At 41.0% G+C, this 12,926-nt stretch overlaps 1 protein-coding gene across 25 annotated transcripts in view; it reads left to right on the top strand.

Annotated features, from left to right (window-relative positions):
* SEL1L2 (SEL1L2 adaptor subunit of SYVN1 ubiquitin ligase) overlaps positions 1-12,926 on the top strand; it is a 146,087-nt gene that overhangs the window by 73,330 nt on the left and 59,831 nt on the right. For 23 of the 25 annotated variants that reach the window (NR_073207.2, XR_937162.2, XR_937159.2 and 20 more), the window contains 2 exons: positions 2,881-2,983; positions 8,060-8,222. Coding sequence is in view for 19 of the 25 variants with exons in the window: in NM_001271539.2 (NP_001258468.1) it covers positions 2,881-2,983; positions 8,060-8,222 (266 nt within the window). In the remaining 6 variants the exon portion in view is untranslated. Of the gene's footprint in view, positions 1-2,880; positions 2,984-6,762; positions 6,884-8,059; positions 8,223-12,926 lie in introns of those variants that run through there. The other 2 variants (NR_073206.2, XM_011529379.3) reach the window with 2 other exon arrangements.

Genomic DNA, 12,926 nt, shown 5'->3' with positions numbered 1-12,926 from the left:
TACTAGGCAGGTTTCAGTTCTTGTACTTAATTTTCTCACTGCCTTTGAGAAGAAGGGGCTATTATAATTCCCATTTTACAATGAGGTGATGTAGGCACTGAGAGGTTAAATAATCTTCCCAAGGCTATATAGTTGGTATCTAGTAAATGACGTTCCAAATCTAGGCAGTCTGATTTGAGTCTGTGCTCATACTGCTTCTCAAAGCTACAAACATGCAGAATCATGAGACAGAGAACACAAGTTAATATCAATGGATGAAAAATTTGAAAAACGGTTCCATAAATACATTTTTTTGCTTTAAAATAAATTTATTGCAAGTTGTTACAAGTATTTTAAGCAATGGGTTGTTTATTGAAAGTAATACTTTATTTACCTGACATTATTGAAAGTGTTTCCTGTAAATCATTTTTCCCATTAGGTGAGTCATATCCCTTTTTATTTTGACTGTTTCTGCGCCCGGCCCTGGACCCTCTTATAGTAAAGAAAATTTGATCAATCAATATCATAGTATTTTAGTATTTTAATAAACAGCGGCTGAGTGTGGTGACTCACGCCTGTAATCCCAGCATTTTGGGAAGCCAAGGTGGGCAGATCACTTGAGGTCAGGAGCTCGAGGCCAGCCAGGCCAGCATGGTGAAACCACATCTCTACCAAAAAGACAAAAATTAGCTGGGCGTGGTGGCATGCACCTGTAGTCCCAGCTACTCGGAGGCTGAGGCATGAGAATCACTTGAACCCAGGAGGTGGAGGTTGCAGTGAGCCAAGATTGCACCACTGCACTCCAACCGGGGCAACAGAGTGAAGAAAACGAATAATTGAATTCCAATACATTTGGAAAGCCAAAAAAGAATTACAAATAAAAGTAAAAGCCATAGGTAGAAATTTGTGGTGGTAAAATCATTTCTCATATGTATATGTATACAGAGCCAATCTTTCAAAATTTATTTTCACTCTCTAAAAGCATTTTCATAGGAGCTATTATTATTCCACACACAGATTATTAGGTTTTCTCCATTATTTTCCCCCTTTAATTAGAAGTATAGGTAACAGATAACTCAGAGCAGAAATTAGATCCTGAAAGTGCCTGGTATTACTAAATTGGTTGGATAGTGTGAAGTATTCAAAATAATTTTAAATAGGCTTTTCAGTTAAGAATTTTTTTAGTTTTTAAATTTTTAATTTTTTAAATTTAATTTAAAAAGAAAAATGAGCAACTCTGATTGCTTGTCAGAAAGATAAAAAACAAGAGCTACTTGTTCTTTGTGGTCTTGTTAATGAGGCATCAAATCCCAAATGCCTTTCCTTTGAAATGGCTTCAAGCGTGGTTCTTCTAATCAAAGATTTTACTAAGTGTTGTAATGGACTTCAAGAGGCACTGTGATGTTATAAAAGGCTGTATGTGTGTGTGTGTGTGTGTATGTGAGAGTGTGTGTGAGAGAGAGAGAAAAATAGTGTGTGTGTGCATATGCACACATTGGTGGAAGGATCTTTATATCTTTAAGTGTGACTCTTCCCACAACCAGCTTTCCCCAACTATAAACTGGTGATGATTTTTTAAAAATTGCAAAGTGTTACATAAACGTTTGGAAAATATCACTGTAGCAGGTAAAATTTAATTTCTTCATTTTCCTTGAATTCTGCAAAACTGATTCTGAGCCCTCATCCTACGAGGCAAGTTATCATGAGTATTCTGTCTCTGTGCCTTCCCCTAAGTCTTAGAAAGGGTCCTGGGAGGTGGAAAAGCCTTAGGTAGAATTTTTTTTTTTTTTTTTTTTTGGGACGGAGTCTCGCTCTGTCACCCAGGCTGGAGTGCAGTGGCCTGATCTCAGCTCACTGTAACTTCTGCCTCCTGAGTTCAAGGGATCCTCCCATCTCAGCCTCCCAAGTAACTGGGACTACATCTGCACGCCACTGCCCAGCTAATTTTTATATTTTTTAGTAGAGACAGGGTTTCACCATGTTGGCCAGGCTAGTCTCAAACTCCTGACCTCAAGTGATCCGCCTGCCTCGGCCTTCCAAAGTGCTGGGATTACAGGAGTGAGCCACCTCACCTGGCCAATAACATTTTTTTTTTTTTTTGAGACGGAGTCTCGCTCTGTCACCTAGGCTGGAGTGCAGTGGTGCAACCTCAGCTCACTGCAACCTCCGCGTCCCAGGTTCAAGCAATTCTCTGCCTCAGCCTCCTGAGTAGCTGGGATTACAGGTGTGTGCCACCACGCCTGGCTAATTTTTGTATTTTCAGTAGAGACAGGGTTTCACCACCCTGGCCAGGATGGTCTGGCTGGTCTTGAACTCCTTACTTCATGATCCACCCACCTCGGCCTCCCAAAGTGTTGGGATTACAGGCGTGAGTCACCGCGCCCAGCCAAGGAAATTTATAAAGCAATTCCCTCCTCCTCTCCTAGGTGCACACTGGTCATCTTGGAGATGCCTGTTGCCCATGTCCTCATGTTTTTTTGGAATCCTGTGGCTCTGGGATTTACTGTGCTATGCTCAGACAAGAGAGTCTTTGCCAGCCAGGGCTAAGATCCTGCCCCTCTTATATACCAGGCATCTCCTGCCTTCTGATCGGAGAACCTTGTATCCCTTCCCTAGACCAAAAGCATCCCTTCTCCCATCAGGAGCATCTCTCTTTCTACTTCACCTTCCAGATCCTTTCACAAAAACCAGCAGGGAATAAGTTTTTAGGCAGCTTCAGCCTTCTGACCTACCGACGCTCCTCAGCTAAGAAATAATATTAACAGATCTTCTTGAATGCAGAGGTTTAAAAAATAAGTAGAACAGAACTCTAATATGCCAACAAATTACTTTAGCACATTATTTTTAAAATATGGAACATAGAAGTAATATTGTTTTTATTTTTTGTTTGTTCATGTATAGTACAAAAGCAAGCAGAGAAAAATTTTACAGATGAAGGAGACCAGCTATTTAAGATGGGCATCAAGGTTCTCCAGCAGTCTAAAAGCCAAAAACAAAAAGAAGAGTAAGTCTTTATCCAGTGACCTTAGCCAAGTTGAATTTCCAGGTTAAGAAAAAAGAAAAATCCCAAATGTAGTTTATCATTAAAACTCATTGGGATAATGAGTAAGCCTATTTGCCCATAAACTATTGTTTTTAAAAGGATCAAATTGTGTTTAAAGAATCCCACAAATTATCACTCTAAACAAACAGGAGAACTGCATGTGAGATTGCAGTCCCCGTATTAAGTGAAATTGAGAATTAAGACACTGACCTGAGCATTCATGCAGAAATATTGTTTTGGCTTTAATTTATTAGATGATTCAAGTGAAATAAAATGTGTTATTTGAATTAGAGCAAGTTGTTGTATTAAAAATGCTTTACTTCTGCCTGGGTGTTTGTACAGTATCTTATGATTTTTAAAAGCACTTTCATGTATGTGATTCCATGTTATCCCCAGAACAGTCTTATAAGGTAAGAAGAGCTTAATTTTTCTCCTTTAAGAAGTTGGAAACAGAGATTCAAAGATGTTAAAGTGAGGTGAGCACAGATAGCTGGGAGGTGACCAAGCTGTGGCCACATGGTCTTGTTCCATGTTCACTGTTTCTCTTATCACTTTTCTACCTTGTCTAAAGGGGAGGCAGAAATATCTTCTCCCTCCACTCCACACTTCCAGTGGAGGGGCACAACCTGTGGTCACCCCTCAAGGCTCTAGCTAAAGCCTTGGGATCAAATCCTAGCTCTCTCATTTACTGGTTGTTTGCACTTGGATAAGTTACTCAACCTCTCTGTGACCCGGATAATGCAATCAAGCTCTTACAATAGTGCCTGACACTTAGTAACCAGGAAATACAGGTGTGTTAGTTTTATCTTGAGTCCCCTAACTGCTAAGTTGAAGGTATGGGGGCAAAGAAAGCAAGGGTATTTTGAACCAATAATAGAAAGTGTGGGCCCTAGCCAAGCACGGTGGCTCATACCTGTAATCCCAGCTCTTCGGGAGGCCAAGGCTAGCAGATTGCTTGAGGTCAGGAGTTTGAGACCAGCCTGGCCAATATGGTGAAACCCCGTCTCTACAAAAATTAGCCAGACATGATGGCGCGCACCTGTAATCCCAACTATTTGGGAGGTTGAGGGAGGAGAATTTCTTGAACCCAGGAGGCAGAGGTTGCAGTGAGCCAAGACCATGCAATAACACTCTAGCCTCTGGGTGACAAAGCCAGACTCCATCTCAAAAAAAAAAAAAAAAAAAAAAAAAAAAAGAAAGAAAGAAATAAAGAAAGTATGGGCCCTGAGCCCCCAACAAGGAGACATCTCTTGTTTTCACACAGAATAGGCACACCAGTCAGAGGAAAGCATCCCAGAGCTGTGGTAGCTAGCACCAGACAGGGCAGCAACAAAGTCCATGAGTTCTTAAAACCCAAACCTTTGAGAAGTATAAAAATACAGAGGATAAGGAGCACTCAACTATGATTCTGGTTATGACAACATCAACAACTTTCATTTATTAAGCACCTGCTTTGTGCTAGTTACTGTTTTAGGTACTTTACATGTGTAAATTATTCATTGCTCACAGTGATACCGTGAGACATAGATAATTATCTCCAAATTACAAGAAGGAAATGGAGAGTCAAAAAGATGATGTAATACTTCCTAAGAGACAAGAAAGAAGTGAGGGGGTGGTTCAACCAACCACAGCAAAACCTGGGCCTCCCACTGAATGTCCCTGGGGGCTGTTATAATGAGGAAGGGGTAAAATCAGATCCCAAAAATACAATCCAGCCTAATAGGAGCTCATCTCACTAACATGCCCACTGGCTAAATAAGTAAGAACAGAGAGTTCTCCAGCCAGCCTAGCTAGAAGAAACAGATGTGGAGCGCCAGTCAGGGGCTGGTCCCTGAGATTTCAGATGACCCCTAACTATAGCATGGGAGCCCACACAAAGAAGGGGCCCAACTAGGTGTGTTACATCAAGTCCAGGGAAACCCTGGATTTGGCCCAATGGGACAAAATCACTCTGAGAAGGTCCCAGGTAACCATCCACTCAACCTTGAAGGGGACCTTCCTCTTTGGCCTAAAGAACAGGGAGAAAGCCCAGTCCTAATAGCAGACCATCCATTAGTGTGGGAACCTTCATGCCTACCTGGGTGTCATTCAGTTTCATGCTATTCTTACCAAGACTGTCCTGCCCACATCCTTGCCCCAAAACTCAGTCTCCTGACCACCCCCGCCACCTTTTTTTGAGACAGAGTCTCACTCTGTTGCCCAGGCTGGAATGCAGTGGCACAATCTCAGCTCACTGCAGCCTCCACCTCCCCAGTTCAAGCGATTCTCCTGCCTCAGCTTCCCAAGTAGCTGAGATGACAGGTGCCCACCACCACACCCGGCTAATTTTTGTATTTTTAGTAGAGACAGGGTTTCGCCATGTTGGTCAGGCTGGTCTCAAACTCCTGAGTTGAAGTGATCTGCCCGCCTCAGCCTCTCAAAGTGCTGGGATTACAGGCATGAGCCACCACGCCCAGCCTCCTGACCCTTTTGAGTCGGTAGCAATGGAGAACTGAACTCTAATGGGCTCATAGAAAGAGATCTCAGGAGTTTCTGGGCAAGCTGGGTGAAGTTCTTGTGTTATCAGGATGGCCTGCTGTCTCCTTAAACAAGTTACATCTGTGCAGCCATGCCTAAGCATAGGGCAGGTGGAGAGAAAAATGATTGCACACCCTCCTGACCAAAGGAGAATAATTTCATTCCCGCTCATTCCTCTATCCTACCCTCTCTTTGCTTTGCTACTTCCTGGGTTGGCAGGACAGATGTAAGATAGGTTAAAACTATCCTTTTGGCTCCTCCACACCCACATCCTGGACCAATTCATTCATTCATTTATTCACTCATTCAGCCTCTTCTTTTGTATGAGTAGGAAAAATCACTGAACAAGTCAGTGCTGTTTAAAGTACAGATATTAAGCAAGCGTGTCAGAGAGAACAAATTTGTCTGAGTGAGTCAGGAAGCCTCACTGACAGCTAGAGTGGTCCTTCATTAAGAATCACTCCCCATCAGCAAAGAAGTTTCGAAGATAAGCCGTTGTTCTACACCAAGTTTCTGATGTGCCCTGCAGAAGCATTGAGCCCTTCCTCCCCCATCACCCACCTAAGCGTCCAATGCCAGACCCTGTAGAGACCATTCAGATAACTAATTAAATTGTCTTTTAGGATCTGCCCCTGCTGCCCAGCTTCTCCCACCTTTTTCCTTTTGGGGATTGCAGCCCACATCTTAATCTTACCTATCAGCAACTTTCTCCAGCCCTGGATACTGCTTCTAGTATCCCTTTTAGTGCCTTGGGTTTTCTGCTATGGAACCCATATGCCCACACTGCCCTTGGAATGCAAGACACCTAGAAGGATTTGTTTTGCAGCCTATTGCTGCCCTCTGGGTCCAGAGACTGTGTATAAAATGCTGGAGCTACTAGGCGTACTATTGGAGGCCCCTGCAGCCTATCTCAGGTTTCTGTGCCTTGGTCCATGCTGGTGCTCCTCCTGTCCCAGTAGGCTATAGAGTTGCAGCAGCAAGCCACGTGACAGAAAGGCTCAAGGGAGTCTGTATCCTGATGCCAGGCTCTCTTCCTGTTGCCTCTCTCTGGGTGCCAGACATTTGCCTTTAGTGACCTTGAGACCATCTGCCTTGTTTGCCTTCCCGCCTCCAGAATTTCAGCTGGCTTTGACCTGGGTTAATTTCTTTCTTGATCTCCTGAACTCCAGTTTTCTATCTCTTTTTGTTCCACTGGAGTACTCACCCTGTGTTTTGACATCCAGGATTCTAATGCCTACCTGGATGTTTCTCTGTCTGAGGTCCTTCTTGCCTGGACTACTCTGCTCCAGCTTCTGCCCAAGAGCAGCTTATTTTAGCCTCAGCATGGATGGGCTGTACATAAAGGTGAGTCTCCTGATCCTCCTAAATCAGAAGCAATGGTAGATTTTTATGGGGTTTTTTTTCCCTGTATTTGAGTCAAGGTCACAGGTAGAAGTTAACGCTTTCTGGTCTTTACCTTCAAAACGAAGTTATAAAAGTAAAAATAAATCCCTAAAATACTCCCTGTCTCTGACACATGTTTTGACCTTGCAAGACTCTCCATCACTTCTTATACCAATCAGGTCCAGATGGCTTCTGACTGGGTCTCGAAGAGTGCAGTGTAAGGTAATCCTGTGGCACCTATCATTTTAATCACTAAATGTTCACACTACTTACCACCTAATTATAGGAGAACAATTACCATGCTATAAAACTTTAGAATCAATGCAACTGTCCCAATAATAACAGCTAAATTTACTGAGTGCTTACTCTATACCACGCACAATGCCAAGCACTTCCCATGGATTATCTCATTTAATCTCCACAGCAACCCTATGAAGTGGGTGCTATAATGCTATCCCCATTTCATAGATTAGAGGGTCACAGAAAAGTTATATAACTTGGCTGAAGTTCTCCAACTAGTAAGTGGTGGGACCAGGATTTGAACCAGGCAGTCAGACTCTAGAGCCCTAGCCATTAAGGTTTTGTTTCATTATTGTTTTTCCAAAGAGTCTGACTTTGCTGTGTTGAAGAATATATTCTGTTTAGCAAATTAAGATATGAAGGGATCATCATTCTTCTGATAGTAACTTCCTAGAGGTTACATTCCAATTTTGATTATTCTTATATTTTTCAGAATTTATTTTATAAAACAAATATTCATAAATAATGGTGGTGGCCATGGGAGAGTTCAGTATTTTAGAAAAAGTTCCTCAATTTTTCACTTTACTCAGTGTATAAGCTTACTCAGTGTATAAGATGGTGTATCTTATATATTTCTGTATCAGTGTATAAGATGGTGTATGTTATATATTTCTCCTTTTTAGTAGCATTATTATTTGTGAGATATATTTGAAATTATAGCCTTAGACTGCTTTAGGAATGAAAAAAATCTACTGATCTAGAGATGTAATGAACTTCAGCTAAACTGTATGACAACTGGTTCCTGCTTGTTAGAGAGAAGTAGTATGAATAGTGTTGAAGAAGGAGAAGAAAATTTCATTTTTGAAAATCAAACTTGACTTTATATTCTTGAAACAGAGCCTACCTACTTTTTGCCAAAGCAGCTGACATGGGAAACTTGAAAGCTATGGAGAAAATGGCTGACGCTTTGCTATTTGGAAATTTTGGCGTGCAAAATATAACAGCAGCTATCCAATTATATGAGTCCTTGGCTAAAGAAGGATCATGTAAAGCCCAAAACGTGAGTTTTGAAGGAAAATGAAACCTTAAATAGCTCCATCCTGAAATAACTATAGACAGCATGTGAAAGGAGTTGAGCAATAGTATTCCAGCTCTGCTGCATGAACCCAGTCTAGGGAGGTTACCATAATGCACTGAAACAGTGGTGTCAGGGCAGGAGTACAGCAGAAGCCTCCGAACCCCCAACAGCTAAATTTTATATAAAATGTATTCACCTATATGAAGAAATATGAAACTGTCTATTATCTTAGGGTGACATGTTTGCATGATTTTTACTTTTCAAATATTTTATAAGCTAAATGTAATTCCTTTTCTATTTTAATAAATGCGTTCCATTTTATTCCAAGAATAACATAGCCATTTCATAGAAAATCTGGAAAACAGGGGAAAAAAAGCTATTTCCAAGCCAACCATCTTGATTCAACTACTATTAGGACTGCTTTGTACTTTTGCTTGGCTTCTTTCTTTGTGCATTTCTCTTTTTACATCATCCTAATCACAATGCAATTGCATATATCATTTTGCTTCTGGCTACTTTCACTTCATGCTGTAGCAAAAGCATATTTTCATGTTGCTATAGTCTTTACTATGAAAACCATTTTTTTCTGATTATGAAAAAAGTCTGAGAAATCAGAAAGTATGAAAAAGAAAGTAAAGTTTTCTAAAAGCTTTCCCCCCAGAGATCACATTTGTTACTATCCAGTGAAGTTCAGAAGCTAGACTTGCAGTCAGACAGACCTAAGTTTGAATCCACTCTTTCATTTGTTTTTTGAATAAGCTACTTAACAAAACCCTTTCACCTCCTTCTGCATGAAAAATTTGACCTTTGTTTCACTCTCTAGTTCTGTTTCCCTGGTGATCTGATAGAAATAAAATGCTAACTATATTTTTAGTTAAGCTTGCTTCTGATAGAAATGACCTCTGATTGGCAAACTGCCTTTGAATTGGGAGAAAAGATCATGAACTATAAATACCAGATGGGGGTAGTACTTCTTATGGGGACACTGGATACTGTGCCTATGGAGTTGTTACATTGAGAATGAGGCTTTTACGTCAGGGTGGCTCCTGCATCCACCCAATGTGGGTCTCATCTCCTTGCATCTGAGCCATCTTCTGAAGGACCAAAGATGGTGGTTCCTGGAAGAATGTATGAACTCTGCTGTAAGAACTCCCACAGAAAAAATTGGGCCAGGTGCGGTGGCTCATGCCTGTAATCCTAGCACTTTGGGAGGCCAAGGTGGGCGGATCACTTGAGGCCAGGAGTTCGAGACCAACTTGGGCAACATGGTGAAACCCCGTCTCTACTAAAAATACAAAAATTAGCTGGGCGTCATGGCACATGCCTGTAATTCCAGCTGCTCGAGAGGCTGAGGAGGAGAATTGCTTGAACCTGGGAGGCGAAGGTTGCAGTGAGCCAAGACTGTGCCACTGCACTCCAACGTGGGCGACAGAGCAAGACTCCATCTCAAAAAAAAAAAAAAAAAAAAAAATCCCACAGAAAAAAAGTCCAGATGCTATGCCATACCTGTCTTCATACACTGGTGGCGACAAAGCCCATGGGTGTCCTGTGAGTCTGTATGTTTAGTTGAACCAGAAGTTGGACTGGAAGACCCCTTGTAGATGGGGCAACCTTACTAATTTTCATCTGTAAAGTTAGGATAATGATGAAACATTGGGTACCGCATCCTTCTCGTTCACTGCTATATCTCTAACATTTAACACACTGCCTAGGACAAGAATTATAAGTTGAATGAGGAATTAATTAATTAATTATGAATGAATTTATGGAGTTATTGTGAGGATTAAAATAATGTGGGAAGACACTTAGTTTCATACCTGGAACACTGTAATCTTTCATTATAAAGAAAAGATATGTGGGAGGAGTAGGGATTAGGGAGATATTGGTCAAAGGATATAAAATTTAAGCAAGGAGGAGGATAAAAATAATATTATTACTCCAATATTATTCTTCTGGAATATTTTCTAAGACTCCATAGAATTATTTTTTTACAAAAACGAACAAATACTTTAGTTGCTGCTTCCTAACTTGCTCTTTATTCACTTAACAATGTATCATAGATGTCTTTCCATGTTAATATATACAGACCGACATCATCATTTTAAAAATCCATATAATTTTAATTAAATTAAGTTGCTGAATACTGCTTTTACATCAGGAACTCTTTCTTGAAATTACATGTGAAATAATGCAATAAACAGATTTGTAAATGTTATAATAAAATATGAGAGCTGCTAAACCTTCATTCCCCGTATTTGCTTAATCAAAAATATAAAGTTCCAAGACAGACCAAATGTTACCACAGATAACAGTTTCCTCCACTAAAAATGGTATCACTAAAGACCAAATGTTACCCTCACTCCACTCCCACCACTAAAAATGGCAACACCTAATTTCTTTTCAAACTATGTGAACATGAATTTTATTTTCTTAGTGTGTGTATACATTAGTTAATAAGTCAACAATTGTTTCTTGGATAGCTACTATGTGTCAAACGTAATGTAGTAATGGGGAGAGAAAGATTACTAGGACAGAGTCCTCCTAGGTCAACCTGAAATGCAAATAACTGCAGCACAATTTAGGTGGACTACAGTTAAGGTGCGTATAAAGTGCTTTAGTCACAGAAGAGGGTCTGGCTAGTTCTGCCTAGGGCAGGTAAAGAATGTTTCAAGGAAGAAGTGACATTTACACTCAGTCTAGAATATTGGATAAAGGAAATAACAAAGATTTCACTTGTTTGTATATAAATAAAGCATTTGATAGAAGGTCAAAATATGACTCCCAGTAAAGAAGTTCCAAACTTACATGAATGGTTCCTAAAACACATGAATTTTAGAGCTGAAGTTGGAGTTTCACTCTAGTTAACGTGGTTATTGCATCTAATTTGTGTTACTTTAGCTAATGTAGTTACATCTAGCCAGTTACATCTAGCTAGTGTTACTCTAAGTAGTGTGGTTATCACATGGCCACAAATATCCTCAAATCCCAGTTAAGTGACCATCAGTTGCTTGCCATTTTTTGTTTCTTTTTTTGCTATTGGTTTTAAGGAAAATCATGTGGAAGAATGTAATTGGCTGAGTGCCAACCCAGTGCCGGAAGGAATAACTCTAAATGTCTAACCACTGGCCACAAATTATTACAGCCATCTTTGTATTGTTGAGGCATTGTTGAGATGGTACTCTAAGAAATGTACAGTTACAGACCTCAGGGTGGCATGGTGTGGTGGCAGAGAAGAGGTTCCCAAACCAGAAATTATGACCATATGTGAGTCCATGTATTCTATCACATAATAGCTCTTCTATCTTTTGTTCATTCTTTTAGTATCTCTGAAGAAGTTACTTCTCTAAACCTTGGGTTTCCCAAACCTGTATCTATTATCTTAGGGTAAAAAGAGATTGATAGTAATACCCACATTACTTCACAAGGTTGCCATAAGAACTGAAAAATATCCACAAGAGTCCTTAGCAAATGTTAAAGAACATTAATGAATACTGTTGTGTAACAATTTTAGTCCCAACAGCATTGTCTTTGGGATCAGTCAGTTCTGGCTTTACATCTGAGCTCCACCTGGCCCCTAATGACTTGTCCTCTCTGGGTCTCAATTTCCTCTTCTGTAAAATGGGGATATTTACTTAGATACGTGTGTTTTGGTCTCAAGGAGAAACAGAAGACAGAACATGAGTGAGGACAAACTTATGGCCCAAAAGGCTGACATTGACCTGGTGTGCAAAATTCAGCTGAACCGGTTTGTTGTTGTTGTTGTTTGTTTTGGTTTGGTTTGGTTTGGTTTTTTGAGACAGAGTCTCGTTCTGTTGCCCAGGCTGGAGTGCAGTGGAGTGATCTTGGCTCGCTGCAACCTCCACCTCCCAGGTTCAAGAGATTCTCCTGCTTTCAGCCTCCTGAGTAACTGGAACGGAACTACGGGCTGTGCCACCACACCTGGCTAATTTTTGTATTTTTAGTAGAGAAGGGGTTTCACCATGTTGGCCAGGCTGGTCTCAAGCTCCTGACCTCAGGTGATCTGCCCTCCTTGGCCTCCCAAAGTGCTGAGCCACCACACCCAGCCTCTGTTTATTAAAATACTAAAATACTATGATATTTATTGATTTAAAAGTCTCTGCCCGACCCTCTCTTATGCCCTCCCTGACATCCACCCTTATTCCTCACTTGAATTCCCCTGCCCCAAAACTTCACATGATCTAGCAAGCATAGTGTTAACATCTGGATAAGCAGGGAGCCTCCAGGATCCTGCTCCCGGCACTATAGCTGGATTAAATTCCAGTGCTTTGATGGATTCAGTTCTATATTTTGACTATCATCCCTGTCACCACTATAGGAAAATCTGTTTCCAGTAGCAAGTCCCCTTGCAGTTGGTGTATTTCCTTGTGCAAAGAACAGCTCGTTAAAGAGATTCTGTGCCACAAACAATAGTTTGATGGCTGGTTGCTAGGACCAGACTGGCCACAGGCCATTCTGACCACAGTTCTCTAATGAGGCTGGCCCAGTGACCACCTTTCTTCTTGGGCCGTTTGTGCCAGCTTGGTACAGAAATCCTGCCCGCACTGCTGGAAGTATTGGGAACTGTGAGGACAACATAGCAACAGAAATGTGGGTAAAGAAGCTGGAGAAAGAGAGAGAGAAAATGAGAGAGAGAGAGCGAGACTGAGAGAAGAGAGAATGAAGACA

This window comes from Homo sapiens, chromosome 20 (genome assembly GCF_000001405.40).
Source record: "Homo sapiens chromosome 20, GRCh38.p14 Primary Assembly".
NCBI lineage: Eukaryota > Metazoa > Chordata > Mammalia > Primates > Hominidae > Homo > Homo sapiens.
This window is presented reverse-complemented; position numbering and strand designations above follow the sequence as displayed.